This window comes from Homo sapiens, chromosome 4, assembly GCF_000001405.40.
Source record: "Homo sapiens chromosome 4, GRCh38.p14 Primary Assembly".
Lineage (NCBI taxonomy): Eukaryota > Metazoa > Chordata > Mammalia > Primates > Hominidae > Homo > Homo sapiens.
Genome location: NC_000004.12, coordinates 77,027,721 through 77,043,283, shown reverse-complemented (window position 1 = coordinate 77,043,283; position 15,563 = coordinate 77,027,721). Strand labels below are relative to the sequence as shown.

Genomic DNA, 15,563 nt, shown 5'->3' with positions numbered 1-15,563 from the left:
TGCCTCCCAAAGTGCTGGGATTACAGATGTTGAGCCAATGCACCTGTCTAAGCCCAGCTCTTTATGGAATGTTATTCTGCTCCCCGTTCCCCACCCTCAAACACACACATTTATTTGTTCTTTTGTGAGACAGGGACCAAAAAAATCTTGTTATAATAGCCTTTGCCTCCCCGGTCTAGGTGCCATAACTTTGGAAGAAACTTTCCACAATGGACTGAAAGGCTATTCATCTCACATCCCTACAAGTAACTGATTTGAGGCAGATGTGAAATCTTTTGTACCTCACGTGATGTTCCACTGACAACCAATAGGTCTCATTTATATATAGCTGTTAATCAGGAATAGCAAGGTAGGAAAGGGAGATGAGTAGACACCTAGGCTCCCAATTAGTCTTCTCAAATTAGCACATGCAACCTGGGCACAGTAGCTCATGCCTGTAATCTCAGTATTGTGGGCAGCTGAGGTGGGAGGAATGCTTGCGGCCGGGAGTTTGAGACCAGCTTGGGCAACATGAGACCCCATCCCTACAAAAAATAAAAAAATTAGCCAGGCATAGTTGCTGATGTCTATAGTCCTACCTACTCAGGAGGCTGAGGTGGGAGGATTGCTTGAACCAAGGAAGTCAAGGCTGCAGTGAGCTGTGATTATGCCACTGTACTTCAGCCTAAGCAACAGAGTGAGAGTCCAATAAAGAAAAAAAAAATTAATACAAGCAATCCCTTCACCAGCCCTGGGTATGCCAGTTGCTTGCTGGAGATTGACCTGAAAGACAGATGGCATCCTTCGCAAAAACTAGATACCATGGTCTTAAAAATTCAAGCACTAGGAACTCTGAAGTGAGCCACACTGCCATCACTGTCAGTCTCCAGGTGGGAAGATAAGTCAGTTGTGAAACAAAAGGTTTTAAAGGTGGCTTAAAAAAACTTTAATAGTCTTTTGTGTTTTTTATTTTATTATTATTTCTGAGACGGAGATGTGCTTTGTCGCCCAGGCTGGAGTGCACTGGGGCGGCCTTGCCTCACTGCAACCTCCGCATCCTGTGTTCAAGCGATTCTCCTGCCTCAGTCTCCTGAGTAGCTGGAATTATAGGCACGCGCCACCATGCCTAGCTAATTTTTGTATTTTTAGTAGACACAGGGTTTTACCATGTTGGTCAGGCTGTTTTCAAACTCCTGACATCAAACAATCCACCGGCCTCAGCCTCCCAAATGCTGGGATTGCAGGTGTGAGCCATCGCACTTAGCCACGTATTTGTTTGATACCAGACCTGTTTACCCATAATCTGGGCCAATAGCAGGCCAAAAATAAATAAATAAATAAATAAATAAATAAATAAATAGATAGATAGATAGATAGATAACCAAATAAGAAGGAACTTGATAAGCACTGTTGACGGGAAAAGAAGTTCGGTCAATTATTGGGGGTGAGGACCTGTTTCTATCTGTCCAGCTCAGTGCATAACCATTGAGAAAGTTGGATCTCTCCTTTACACGTGTGCTGGGCTAATCTCAAGGAGACCATCTAGACTATGCTCGTATTAAGGCAGAGTCTGTATCTGAAAAGAACTAATATTTGTTTAAGATTGATGAAGAACAAAAAGCCTATTACCAATGGAAACAGGTTTAGATGGCTCACTTCTCCCTGCTTTGCTTTTCCACAATCTTGTTTGAGATAAGCCAGTAATTTTTATTGCTAGTAATTATACCCAAGATGGTTTCACATCCCTTACTTGGTCAGCCAGGAGAAAATCTACCAGTTTTATCAACACTAGAGAAAAAGAACTGCCTATTGTAAAATGCCAAATGAATGGCAATCTATCTTAGGGGAATTGAGATGGCAAGGCACTCGGTTGGCCAGAGGTGTACATGATCAGGTTCCCCTAGGTAACTGGACTGAGGCTAACGTACTGATAATATTCTCAGTTCCCCAACTCCTCCCATTAACATGGTTCATATTAACTTCCTCTACTCTGGGAGCTAAAACAGAAAAACAAAAAAGGAAATAGCAACAACAGACATACATTTCTTACTTAAATATTGCCTAATTTGATTTTTAAATACTGCTCAAAAAATATTTACAATCTGATGCAGAATTTGTTTTTAAAATGATAGAATAAAGTTAAAATATCAAAATAGGGAGTTTAAGAATAAAGTCACTTATATGTAGTGATGACAGTAGTCTCACACAACAGGAACTACATGTTTAACTTGCAAAACTGATGTCATGCTCTGGCATCAGCTGGTAAGGAGCTGCTATTCCTTTCCCACTCCACTGGTCACATTACTAGCAGATTTCTGTCCTTACAGATTATAGTGTAGAATGAAGGGGATGGCTTTTGATGCTGACATTTTGATCATTTAATGGCTCACATGTATCTGACTTTACTTACATTTACTTAGTTTCTAAGTAAAGAAAGCAGCTTGCCAACTTGTTCATCCAATTGCTCTAAATAATCTCTTTCCAGGAATCAAGTGATTCAAGAGGCAGGGACTGTTGCTTCTTCATTTCACTGTCTAAAGGAACCATATGTTACCATTCTTATTCAGAGGGGAACACTCCTGAGGATCTTGATTAAAGGCAACTCATGCCACCAACGGTATTTCTATGATCTACCTACTATGGAGCTGAAAAGTAAAGATGGAAATAAGCCTATCTACAAACAGGTAATGAAATTGAAAGATAACAAAATATATGTCCATGCTTTATAATACATACGATTTGAAAATTGTCCCTTCACTATGAAAACTGCCCCCAAGAAGTGACTGCTAACTAAAGTAATCTAGCCCTGAATCTGACTCATCACAAACAGGTCAGCATTAGAAATCAGAGGCTTACTCAACTGGCAGAAGTATGTGTTTGGATATGGATGTTATTTTAAGTGATCAAGTCTGAATGCTTTGATTCTCAGCAGGTTTTTTTGCAGATATTGTAGAGAAATCCACCTAGGTAACTCTGAGAAGACAATGTGAATCAGAACCATTGTTAATGATGCTGTTATCTGGGAGAAGAGACATGTACTTGTTTGGGGTTCATTTCCCATGGTCCAAGACATATGGGTCTTGGTAAAAAGCTGTGGACACAAGGTACAGAGCTTCACAACAAATAAAAAGGCAGGGATGGGCCAGTAAGTTATTTTAAGGTATCTTTAAATATAAATTGAACCCCAGAGGCAGAAAAGTCATCTACCCAACACCGGCACATTTTAAACATGATTAGGATTTGTAGGTCAAAATCCCGTAACAAAAAAGGGAAGTTTTTGGTTGTTTCCAAAACAAGGAAAGCATGTTAAACAGAATCTTGTGACTTAAACTTCACTCAAGTGAGCTTAAAACTGGCATAATTTTGATACCAAAAGTAAGCTGAATAACCAATACAAAAAACAGAACTAACTGGAGTTTTTCTCCCCCAAAACATAGTCCCAAATCCAAAACAACTTATATAAGGGATGCAAGTAACAGAAAAAGTCAAATAAAACAACAGTGGTTCCTGAATTTAAAGGAAGGATGCCCACTTCTCTCTCTCTCAAGAGGCAGATGGTCAGCTGAAAAATAAAAACATTGTATCAATAGAACACTCCAAAGAAAAAAAATTGCAGCCATCTCTGTTCATGCAATATCAAATGATTTTTTTTTTTTAAAAACCCCAAACACCAAAACAACCCATAAAACTAACAAAAGGAAGGAAAATGTTGCTCGGATCTTATGACCTGACGGTTGAGGATCCTGATCAGGCTGTTCAGAATGTGGCTCATGGGACAGAAAGGACAGGAGTTACCATGAGATCAAGTTTGTGGGCCCTGGGTGTGGTGGCCCCCTCAGGTTAGGGTACACGCTGTCTTCAGTCCATCAGTTCTTGGATCAGCAGCTTCAAGAACATGATAGTTCTAAGCAAGGGGATCCCAGCACAAGACCTTGGGTCTTGGCCCACGTTTTCTGTTTCAGTCAATTTCCTTTTTCCTTTTTAATTAATATTATTGAATATGACTATTTTTGGTAGTGGTAAGTCACTTCAGTATCCACTATGGGCAGACATTGACAAGTACAAACAGCAGTGCAATATTTGACCCAGACTTTAAAAGAACAGGAGGCGATGGTGGAAATGAGGTAACTCTTCCCCAACACGTGTGAACAGACAGCTCCTGCTCTTCTAATGCTCTATGTCCATTAGGAGAGAGTAGGGCTTGTCAACAGGATGGTTACATAAAGAAGAAGCTACAGAAGAGAAAAAAGAAAGGTTCAGATTCAAATTTGATTCTTAATGGCTTAAGAAAAGAAAAGGAGCTTCTCTACAACAAGCTGTGAAAGAACAGCAGTGTGTCAGTTAATGGGGTGACTTCCTCGAGCTCGACGGGAGGGTGAGCAGCAGCAGGGAAGAGGAGGCCAGTGAAGAAGACGATGCCTCAGCTGGGCACCAAGGCACATGAATTGGCAGGGTGGACAGGGACAGGCATGGGGGAAAAAGGGTGATAACATGATATGTGAAGTACAGGACACCACATGGCACGTATCTTTGAGAAACTGGTGTAACCCAGACGGCAGCCATTTGAAGTCTACCACACGAGGCAGGAAAGCATGAGACTCTTATCCCTATTTCTTTTATCCAGTAAGCACGTGTACATATGCAAACCAAGCAGTGACTAAAAAGAACTCACAAAAAAGGGCACACAAATAATGTTTGGGTAAAAATATATTTTCCCCCGCTTTATGTCTTGGCACTAGTGATATATGCATAGATTATCTGTTCACCACTCTCCTACCTTAACAGATGCCAAATTACCAAGCATGTTGCTAAGTGATCACTTTCATATTTGAAAAAATGATATGCTTCACATCAATACAATTACTTTAGTTTAAAAAAGACAAATGTCTAACATGCAGCTTACATATATGACAATTCTGCATTAACAATGAAAGTAGATTACACGACAGTTTTAGAAAACACATTGGTTATTTTCAAACAGCAAAATGACAAGGATCTACAACTACAGTTTAAGGCATATCAGCATATTTTAAAATTAAGAAATAGACAAAGTTCTAATGCTGTTCACAGCTTTTCAATTTATTTAAAAAATTCCCTTCATACCTACATACAAACTAGACTTTGTAGGTCTTAATTCCCACTAAAGAATGTGTCCTGTCAGTGGAACCAGGACTTTTCGAAGCTGAGACCTGACAATTCCAGACTCTTGCAAATGGCAAAGCAAAGGGGTGGGAATGGACAGTTTTTGTAGGACCACACAGAGACAGCAGGACGTGGGTCGGTAACAGCTGAAAAACCTCACCCAATAGTTTGTATGTGAAACAGTCATGGAAATGTCAAGAAAGCAAGGAAACCAAGTCTGTTCATTTGAGGTGCACAAGATGTGGATTGTGTGTGTTACTGCTGGTGAGTCACAAAGCAGAGAAGGAAGATAAGTAATCTGTGCCCACTGTTACATTAAATAATTCCCATTGTTGAAATGCCCTTTTTGGAGAAAACCTTAACCAATTAATAAAGAGCCTAAGTTGGGAAAACACAATCTGAACTGCCAATAAATTCTCATCAATGCTTTTCCATCACATTCTACAGTACATGTGTTATGGAGATCTAAAGTTCAGAAGAAGCAAAAAGATGGTATTATGTTTGAACAAAAGATATGGGGTAAGGCCAGCTAGTTATGTAGGCCCCTCAATCCCCAAAAAAGAGGTGGCCACTGTCAGCAGTTAGCACCAGGGAGAGACCATTAAACTAAGATTAAAAAATTAAGTGGTCATAAAGGCATCCTAGCATAAAAATTTTTCTCTTGGTTTTCTCTAGTAGAAGATGGTAATTTCTCATTCTGGCTTTATTTGCCTTGCCAGAATCAAGGGCCCTCTGAGCTATCCAATGATGCCCATGAGGCTATGTAGAGCACAGGCAGGGATTAATAATTTCTTTTTTTTTTTTGGAGAGTCTCACTTCATCACCCAGGTTGGAATGCAGTGGTGCAATCTTGGCTCACTGCAACCTCCATCTCCCAAGTTCAAGCAATTCTCCTGACTTAGCCTCCCAAGTAGCTGGGACTACAGGCACGTGCCACCACGCCTGGCTAATTTTTGTATTTTTTGTAGAGACGGGGTTTCACCGTGTTCGCCAAGGTGGTCTTGAACTCCAGGCCTCAAGTGATCTGCCCACCTCGGCCTCTCAAAGTGCTGGGATTACAGGCATGAGCCACCACACCTGGCCTGGATTAGTAATTTCGGATTTCCAAATTCAGGTCAAGAAGTGGAATTTATTATGTGGTTCTTGTGAAAAAAATATAAATGTGGCCTTTTAAATATATTTAGTCTTTTTTTTAAACAAAGGCTACTCAAACCATTACCTTCCTGCCCCCCTTGAAAAGAAAAAAAAAATCTATCCATCCCATTTGCTTTCTCTAATTTTGAAAAGTCAGAAAGATCTCAAAGGTTTCTTACTACCGTACTTACATGCAAAGGCGAAAGCACATCCAATTAGATTTGAGGGTATCATTTATTCCGTGCAGAGCCAAGGACTACTGTGAAAAAAAGGCATAGATACAGAAAGAAAAAAGAAAAGCAGCAATAACAAACTAAACAGGGCTAGGGAGCAGTGGCAGAAAAAAGTTCAGAAGCAATACATTTTTTAAAAAAAAAAGCTTCTATTTGTTTCTTTTGACTTTTTATTCCCTGACTCGCCATATGATTTATTTTGCTGGGAAAAATTTAATGCAAAAAAGTCAATCCAATCAATAATCTTGGAATCAAAAAGTCAGCTGGATGCCTTTCGTTGTTATGCTCATTTTAAAAAAATTTTAGTGATGCAAGAGACAATTTAAAAGTGTACTTTCTGTACAAGCCACAAAAATGCTCACACAAGCGGTGGTTGGAACAAGCATACAACACAAATATTCAAGCTTTTGTCTGATGCACAGCCTATGAGCAAATTCAGCCCATGGTTTGAATCAACATGCCAGCTACTATTTGGCTGCTCCACAGTTAGCTCCAGACTAGAATTATTTAAAAAAACAAAAGCAAAAACAAGAATGTTGGTCCAGTAGCTCCTAAACCTGTGAAGACTATGACTACTGCTGTGTCTAGTGTGTAGTTTCTATTCCAGCTTTGTTTAGGCTTCCATGAAACTAATTTCCTTACTTTGCTTAATTAAGCATAATCAGTTCATGGAAGACCATTCCTTCTTTCCTCTAAGTATGGTTGAGGACAAAGAAAAGGAGAAAAAATCTTTGCTGAAATCAAAATGGAGACTTGCTCATTCAAAAAAGAAAGTGTGTGTCAGGGGAGACGCAGCATATTCTATCCTATTTACTTAATCTCTAACCAGTGAGGAAAATGCAGAGGGGCAGTGGGTTCATGAGAAATGTTATCCTTTCTACATGTAGAGAGAAAGCTGGGAGGATCTTGTTAGTAGAGGGGAAAAAACAATCACACAGATGAAAGGATAAGCATCAGAAAGGAGCAGTATAGAAAAGAGATTAAATATGCACTCTTCCATACAAATTAGGCATTTAGTACAGGTTCTGGCATATGGGCCAGTTCTAATCCCTGATGAGGCAAGGGCCTTAGACAAAGAGCAGGTGGAGCTAGCCAAGGTGAGGAAAATTCCAGACAATGATTTGAGACTTCAGCTGTTCTATTTCTTCTTTCTTTTATTGCCAAATACTGAAAGGAGACTAAGCAAGGAAGCTGGATATGAAATGTCTACCTTCTTGACTTACGGGTCATGTTGTGGTCCTTCCTATTTCCACCTTAAAATTGACAAGGCCTCGCTCAAATTTGTGCTACCAATGATACAGAGTTTATAGCAAATTTTCTAAGGGAAGTATCTGTGGAAATTTTCTCATGATTCATGAAAAATGTTATTAGAAGTACAAGTATCCTGGAATCAGTCATCAGGTCCTCCCTCTAAGCCCACTGGGAACAAACTGAGGTGTGTTTATGAAAGATTCCTTACTGTTAGTGGTAAGCAGGCTGTAGAAAGCCCATCATCCTTAGAAGAAGATTCTTCTACTAAGCAATGTTACATGATCCAACCTTTAAGACCTCTATCTGTGAGAGGATCAAGGATGCACCAGTAAATGTGAACTAATCATAGTTTTCTCATACCAGTCTACTCCAACTTGGCCAGGATTGAAGGCAGGCATTCAGATGCAGTTTCAAACCATGAGAGGAGACAGTCTGAACAGACCCACAAGCTCAGGCCAAATAATGTTATTGATTAAAATGAAAATGTCATGCAAGGGTAAAAATAAAATATAATGCTTGCTCACCAGTCTGTCTACGTACAAATCTACCTTGGCTTAGGACAAGTGTGGAGAAAAGACAGTGAGTTCAGGGATTGTGCACTCATGGAGATGAATCATCAAGAAAATGCAAACTCTTGTCATGGCTATTCAGGTTTTTAGTTCAGCTGCTGAGGCGGTGAGAAGTTTTCATGTCAGACGTACAGGTAGCATTTTACCCCACTTTCCTCTGTCCAAAGCGACATACAAGTAACAGGCCTGCTTCGTGCTGCCATTCAGAACAGGCATAAAAAGCAAATCATTTACTTTCCGGAAACAGAGTCCAGCTGCACAGAGCATTCGCGGTTATTCCCTTGTTCTATCATTTTCTACCACCCAACAACATTCAGCAAAACGAGTTAATAATAGTTACTGGTGTTTGAGGAAGGGTAAAAAAATAAAATAAAATAAAATAAAACTAAAGAACACACATGGCAGAGATACGATATTACTGCAAAAGCAGGTGAATGCGGGAACATCCTTGGCTTGCCAGGCTTTATGTGAAGCTTGCACTGCAAGTTAAAAAACAAAACAAAAAAGTTAGAAATAATAATAAATTAAAAAGAAAGGAAAATTAGGAGCGACAGCACCAGCATTCAGTGATGGTGAATGCTCATGCAATGATTATGGAATTGACAGAAATTAAAACCAAAAATTTGAGAAGGCTACTCTACATGACAAGCCAAAGCAAAATTTAATACTGAATTAAAGACATATGGTTAGTTTCCATTTGTATGTAATTTAGAATTCACAAGTGACTTCTTGAAACCACTGCATGTCTAGTGGGAGGATTTACTGTTTGGCTTTTGTTTTCTCAAATAACACAAAACCATTATCTATTAGGTTTGGGTGTCCCATTAGTACTGAATAGGAGCTTCATTTTCCACTTCTGAGCTGCTGAAGGAGTCAGAGAATAAATATACAATAAATGCCTTTGTACAATTGACTTGAAGAAAAGGTCTAAAGCAGTTTAGGGATTGAAATTACATAGTGAATGGAGGACATGCTATTAATCTAGTTGGGTAGGGGGAAAAAAAGGACAATCACTGGAATGGTTACAGCTACAGCAATGCCAGGAGCTTTCCCCCTCTTTTAGGTACAAAGTAATGCCAAACCCACGGTCCACGTGTCTAATTTTAGGCAACTGCAAAACATGCAACCTTATTCCTTAGCAAGAATCAAAATGATTTTTTTTTAAAAGATGAGTGGATGGTTGGGTAAACTGTAGTTATTAGATGCCAAGTATGGTTTTAAAATGACGAATTTTAAAACTGTTTGCATCTTAACCAGCAAATGCCTGCTGGCAATTGTGCAGACAGTTTTCAGAAAAGAGGAACACTGTCCACTGACCAACTTACCCCTGGGCAGTCCCACCACTGTGGTATAGCCGCAAACAAGGAAAGTGACTTCGTGGCCAGAGATGGCAGAAGGTGGGGTCCAGCTAATGGCAGTGCCAGGGTTAGTTCTACTTTGCCTGTCATCTTAGGAAATGTTATACACTCTCATGCCACTACAGGTCAAGGAGAAGTATAAAGCCTTACCTACATTAAAAAAGGAGCGTGTCATTAGAACAGAAAAAAGAGAATTTAAAACTATTAGAAAAACTAAGTTAGGCTTGGAGGTGGAAGCATAGCAGGTAAATAAGTAAGCATCTGCCTTTTCATTTTCTACCTATAACAAAGTCAGTTCCTGAATGGCAACTCCCACATCTGTTCCAGCTATGCTAGGAGGCATCTTCCCAGCTCTTTTCAAAGTGCTGCTCTGTCTAGCCTGGCCACTGTCTTTCTGCGGTCCCTCTAACCAAAACACTCCACTACCACTGGCAGTAAGAGGTGTGATTTTTTTTTTTCTTGGACATTTCAGGCCTCCACTGGCAGTTGCTTTCACTGTACAAATGTAAAGTGTGGAAAAGGGTAAGGACCTAGAAAAAGTTATACAAAAAATATGTGCCATTGTCAGGTGCAAAACCTGGCGACTACTCTGAACCAAATTAAGTATAATATCCTTCAAAATAAATGAGAATATATAAATAAGCTAAAATAGAATCCACACAGGCTTCATAGAAACTTTGAAAGCATTACACATTGGTAAGGCCCCAGGATAGGAAGAAAATAACCTAACATGTTCAAAAGGGCAAGGAAAAACCTCCCTACACTGGGAAGTTTGTTACTAAATAAACTTTTCTAAAATGGAAGCACAATAATGATCAGCTCTTGGAATTTTTATTGCTTAAAGGCACGTCTAGTATACACGAAATACTCTTTTAACATTGCTGGTCTTTTGGAAACATTCTTAGTTTTAAAACTTGAACCTTTATGCACTGAGTGCCTCAGGGTGAAAAGAAAAACTTGACTTTGCATTTCCTAAGCTGTAAGTCAGCAGCTTTTTGTCTCATTCATACCTATAGATGTATGTGTACACACACACAAACACACACACACAGACACATACACACCCCTATATCCTTGGTTAGTTTAGCTTGGATTAACAAAGGTACAATGCCCAATGGCTTTCATCTGTCTTCACTGGAAGAGTCACTGTAATCTGAGTCTCTGCATGGGAAACATCACCATTAGTGTTAGATGCTCTCCCGACATGCATAGCTACAAAGGGTTTTCTTAGATTATAATCTATGTGCTTGTTACTCTCAGAATTAATCCAGCATAACTAAATTTTGGGCCTTGAACTCCTTTGGTCACTTGGATCTGTGCCAACTCCAAATAAAATCACAACCATTTCAATTATTGTTCAGAACATTTGCCTCCTCCCTTGCTCTGGTGATACATTTTCTGCTGTCTCAGAGCTCAGAATGTCAGTTTGTAAAGCATGATTTAAAACTCTCTCAGTATGTCATTGTAGCAGTCCATTTTTATTTTTACTGCAGGCAACATGAGATTCCTTAGGGGTGAGCCTACTGCACATTCACCAAGACTAAGTGGACAATAGCACTGTGCTCACTTTTCCCTATAACACATCTCAATTATTGTGCAGAGACTTGATCCTATGTACTCTATGTTTAAAGAATGTAATTCTTTATGTGCTTGAGCATCAATGTTTTTACATATGGTCAGCTTTTTCCCTAGAACCTTGGCATGTAAGGCGAAAGAGCAACACTTCCTGAAACAAGTTCTGAGTTGCTTTATATTAAATAGCTGCCCTAAAGCACCGTACATTAGACAAAGGAGGGTGGCATCTGCATATTTGTCATTGAGACACCACAAAGGTTTTCGTTAGTGGTATTCTTACCATCGTGCTTCCTGTCAAAACCGATAGCATTGACATAAAACTAGGCTTTATGATGATTCAAAGGAGAGCTTCAAATCACAGGAGAATGTCAAGGGAGGCCTAAATCTCCCACTGGTTTCAGGCAGCTGCTACTGGAGTATCACAGGAAGTGACCAACTCAAGAGCAGAATCTGACCCTTTGGCACATGACATTAAGACCCTATTTAAAAAAAACCTTTTATGAATGGGTTTAGGTTTGGCTTGAGGTTGGCAGAGGTGTCAACTGGATAGGCATTTGGATCCCATTTCACAATAAAACAATTCATCATATTGAATTTTGAGGAAACTAGTGGCCACTAGCAGCTCTTCCAAATGTTTCATTTTGGGAACGAGAATTTCAGTGACTGGCTTACGAAGTCTTACAACACAGAATAGGAAAATAATTTTAACAATTGTGATTTTAGGATGCTCTCTATCAAGAGTCATGAGAATTGTCTTCAGAGGGTGCTGAAGAGACATCAACCTGTCTTCTTTGAGACTCCTAGTGTTGGTGTGGAAGATGCTACTGGAGACAACAGGTTCCTCCAGGCCTGATTGCTTGGTCAATTGTGGTAAAGTTTTATAAATTAATCTTTGTGTACCTTTTAAAAAAATTTAAAAACCTTCATCATCTTCCCTGCACTGTAGAGAAAATACTTGCTTTTATCTTTCTGGTAAAGGACCAGTTTCCAGTCTGTAAATGGGAAAAGTAGAGACATGCAAGAGGAATAAATTGTTAGAGGTCCCCGATACAGGGGGGTGACACCTGCTTACTTTTTCTTATCCTTGTCTTTCTTGGTTTGCTGGGCCCCAGATTGCTGGGCCTGGGACTGTAGTAACTGAGCCGCTGCTTTCTTCTTCTGGAAGTTGTTCACCTCCTCCTCAAGCTCCTTCTTCTTGTCTTCCACTTTCTTCTTTTCTTCTTGGTGTGTCCGCTTTAGAAGGTCAAACTTCTCGTGAAGCTGGAGAGAAAAAGAAAACAGGCTTGGTGAATGGAATGAAAATCCTTTTGATGTAAAGTTCTTTGGATCTGTTCAAAAAACAAAACATGGCCAGGCACGGTGGCTCACGCCTGTAATTTCAGCACTTTGGGAGGCCGAGGTGGGTGGATCACGAGGTCAGGAGTTCAAGACCAGCCTGGCCAAGATGGTGAAACCCCATCTCTACTAAAAATACAAAAATTAGCCAGGCGTGGTGGCGGGTGCCTGTAATCCCTGCTACTCAAGAGGCTGAGGCAGAGAATTGCTTGAACCTGGGAGGCGGAGGTTGCAGTGAGCTGAGATCGTACCACTGCACTCCAGCCTGGGTGACAGAGACTCCGTCTCAAAAGAAAATAAAAGAAAACAAACAAATATGTGTCATGTGGCTGCACTGGCTTTAATACAGGTGTAAAGTACCATTTTGCTGACTTCCTGGAGGAGCTGAGCTGGGATGCTGAAGAGCATCCCTCAGAGTCCCAGACTCCTGTGACACTAGAACTCCTTGGGACTAAAAATTCCTTCGCTCTGTTGCCCAGGCTGGAGAGTAGTGACACAATCTCAGCTCACTGCAACCTCTGTCTCCTGGGTTCAAGCAATTCTCCTGCTTCAGCCTCTCGAGTAGCTGGGATTATGGGCATGCGCCACCACACCCAGCTAATTTTTGTATCTTTAGTAGAGACGGGGTTTCACCATTTGCCCAGGCTGGTCTCGAACTCCTGACCTCGTGATCCTCCCACCTTGGCATCCCAAGGTGCTGGGATTACAGGCGTGAACCACTGCACCTGGCCAAAAATAATTATGATCCCAACAAAAAACTCACCCTAGTGGTAAAAGTGGTTCTTTACCTCTGGTCCTTTTTCGAAATGTATAAAAAACATTTACTTAGAAATATATACAATGACTACATATATGTATGTGTTTGTATATATATACACATATATATGTGTATGTATATATGTGTGTATATGTGTGTGTATATATATGTGTGTGTGTGTGTATATATATATATATGCATTATGTATTAGCTACTTAAATAATGTGTTGGGAAATTTCTGGCCCTTGAGGGAAGGAAGGGGAAGAAGAAAAGCAAAGGAAGAAGAAAGAAAATGAAAAAGAAAAGGAAAGGAAGGAATTCTAGACAATTTTAGATTTTTTACCCAGCATCCCCTTGGTTCTTGAAGCCAACAGCAAATAAGGCTCAACTTTCTCTGCAGCAAAACCATCTTGAGTGCTTAGCTATTTAAATAGCCTCTAAATTTCAGTAGTTTTTAGACAAAATAAATTAAAACAAGAAAACGAGGAAATTTATTTAAATGATTTCACTTAGAAACATATAGAGACATTGGTCAAACACTTCAGATACTCATTATTGACCAGCAGAAATAGACATTATGCACACAAGCACACATACACACACACACACACACACTCAAATACAATGGGATGAATGTTATAGTATAAATCTATGTTAACTTCTAGGAAGCAGTTAATCTGGCCAGGGGAGGGGACTAAGGTAAGGCTGAAGCAGGGAGTGCAAGCCCCGTGAGGGCAGAAGCACGGGCGCAGATGTGGAGTGCAGGCTTTGTGTCAGATCGTTGTCCCCCAGACACTGCCAAAGTCTAGCTGAGTTGGCTGATAGACTAAGAAGATAATAATAGTCGCAGAATCCCAAATCTCATGTTTTAAGACTTGTAAATTGAAGAAACACAGAGCTACACAGGCCATGTGATCAGATCTGGAGACCTAAGATCTAGTTTTAGTCTCGGTTTTGCTGCTAACTAGGTATGTGACTGCAAAAATAGTTTTAACTTTTATAACCTGTTTATCATCTGTAAGACAGGGATGAGAATATCTGACCCATTTTCCTGGCCAGGTTGGCAGGTCACTCGTGACAAAATGCATGTAGAAAGTACTTGGACCATCATGAAGTCCTCTAAAGCGTGATGTATTTAGAAAATCTCTCTCTTACAAATCTTTCCCTTGAAGCAGGACAGATGGCTTACCTCTTTCTCTGCCTCCTTAAGTTCAGCTTCTTTCTCCTTCACTCTCATAACAAACATTTGTCTCATTTCTTCTTCTTTCTTCTGCAGTTCTCCCAGGAATTCATTCCTTTTTGCTTCATATGTCTCCTGAAGACTATTGAAAATCCACAAACGAAGGACAGCATCATGAAATTGTATACTAAGAAATTTCAGTTCACATAATTTCTACCTATCTACTTTCAAAACATAGATAAAGCTGCTGCTTGCCAGATCAAAGCATAAGTAGAATGACACTGTTTTGCTTTTAGTTATGCTGTGGTTGGAAAGACAAGTGCATCAAGAACTAGAAATCAGTCAGTAAGCACAACACAGCACTAAAGGTGTGTCTGTGACTAGCCAAGTTTTATCTTACATATATTCATACAAGGAAAACCTGGGCTGAGGAGGTGGAGGTGGTATAGAATTTGAGAAGATGGAGAAGGCCTGCTATAGGGGGAGAAATGAAGAGGGACTGGAGTCCCACAGATCCGGATTGGAATTTGGGCCATACTAAGTAACCGGCTGTTCTTAGAAAAGCACAGCCTCCCTCAGCCTCCAAGGTCTAAGACGTGGATACAGTGACACTTACCTTCTAGGGATATGACCCTGAGAATGAAATGAGGGGAAGGGAATAAAACATCGAACATATAGTCAGTGCCCAGTAAATGGTACCCTCCCCTCTCATCTCCCTCCAGCCCCCAATGTGGAAAATAGACCCAGCAAGTAAACTAAAGAGACAACATTACCTTTAAAGGTACTGTAGAAAATTGCTACTTTTCAAGTATATTACCAGTTGTAAACAGAGCAGGGAGAAGTTTAATTTTTATTTTCAATTCTATCCTCCTCCTGACTGTCTTGGAAGTTAGAGCCCAATATTCTACATTGAATGCTACAGCTCAGCTTTATCTCTAAGTCAAAACAAATATATTTACAGAGAAATCACTTTGGTAACACAGCTTAAGAAAATACACCCCCACTGCAACCCCCACATACACACAGAAACATTTGCTGATATTTTATAAA

The 15,563-nt window shown here is 40.0% G+C and overlaps 1 protein-coding gene across 8 annotated transcripts in view; it reads right to left on the bottom strand.

Moving 5' to 3' along the window:
* Nucleotides 1–3,129: 3,129 nt before the first annotated feature.
* SEPTIN11 (septin 11) overlaps nucleotides 3,130–15,563 on the bottom strand; it is a 90,403-nt gene continuing 77,969 nt past the window's right edge. For 4 of the 8 annotated variants that reach the window (NM_001306147.2, XM_047415959.1, NM_018243.4 and 1 more), the window contains 3 exons: nucleotides 14,523–14,655; nucleotides 12,314–12,501; nucleotides 4,669–8,787 (listed from right to left, as the gene is read on the bottom strand). In NM_001306147.2, coding sequence (NP_001293076.1) covers nucleotides 8,772–8,787; nucleotides 12,314–12,501; nucleotides 14,523–14,655 — 337 coding nt within the window. In that variant the 3' untranslated portion in view covers nucleotides 4,669–8,771. Of the gene's footprint in view, nucleotides 4,212–4,668; nucleotides 8,788–12,313; nucleotides 12,502–14,522; nucleotides 14,656–15,563 lie in introns of those variants that run through there. The other 4 variants (XM_017008401.2, XM_017008403.2, XM_017008402.2 and 1 more) reach the window with 2 other exon arrangements.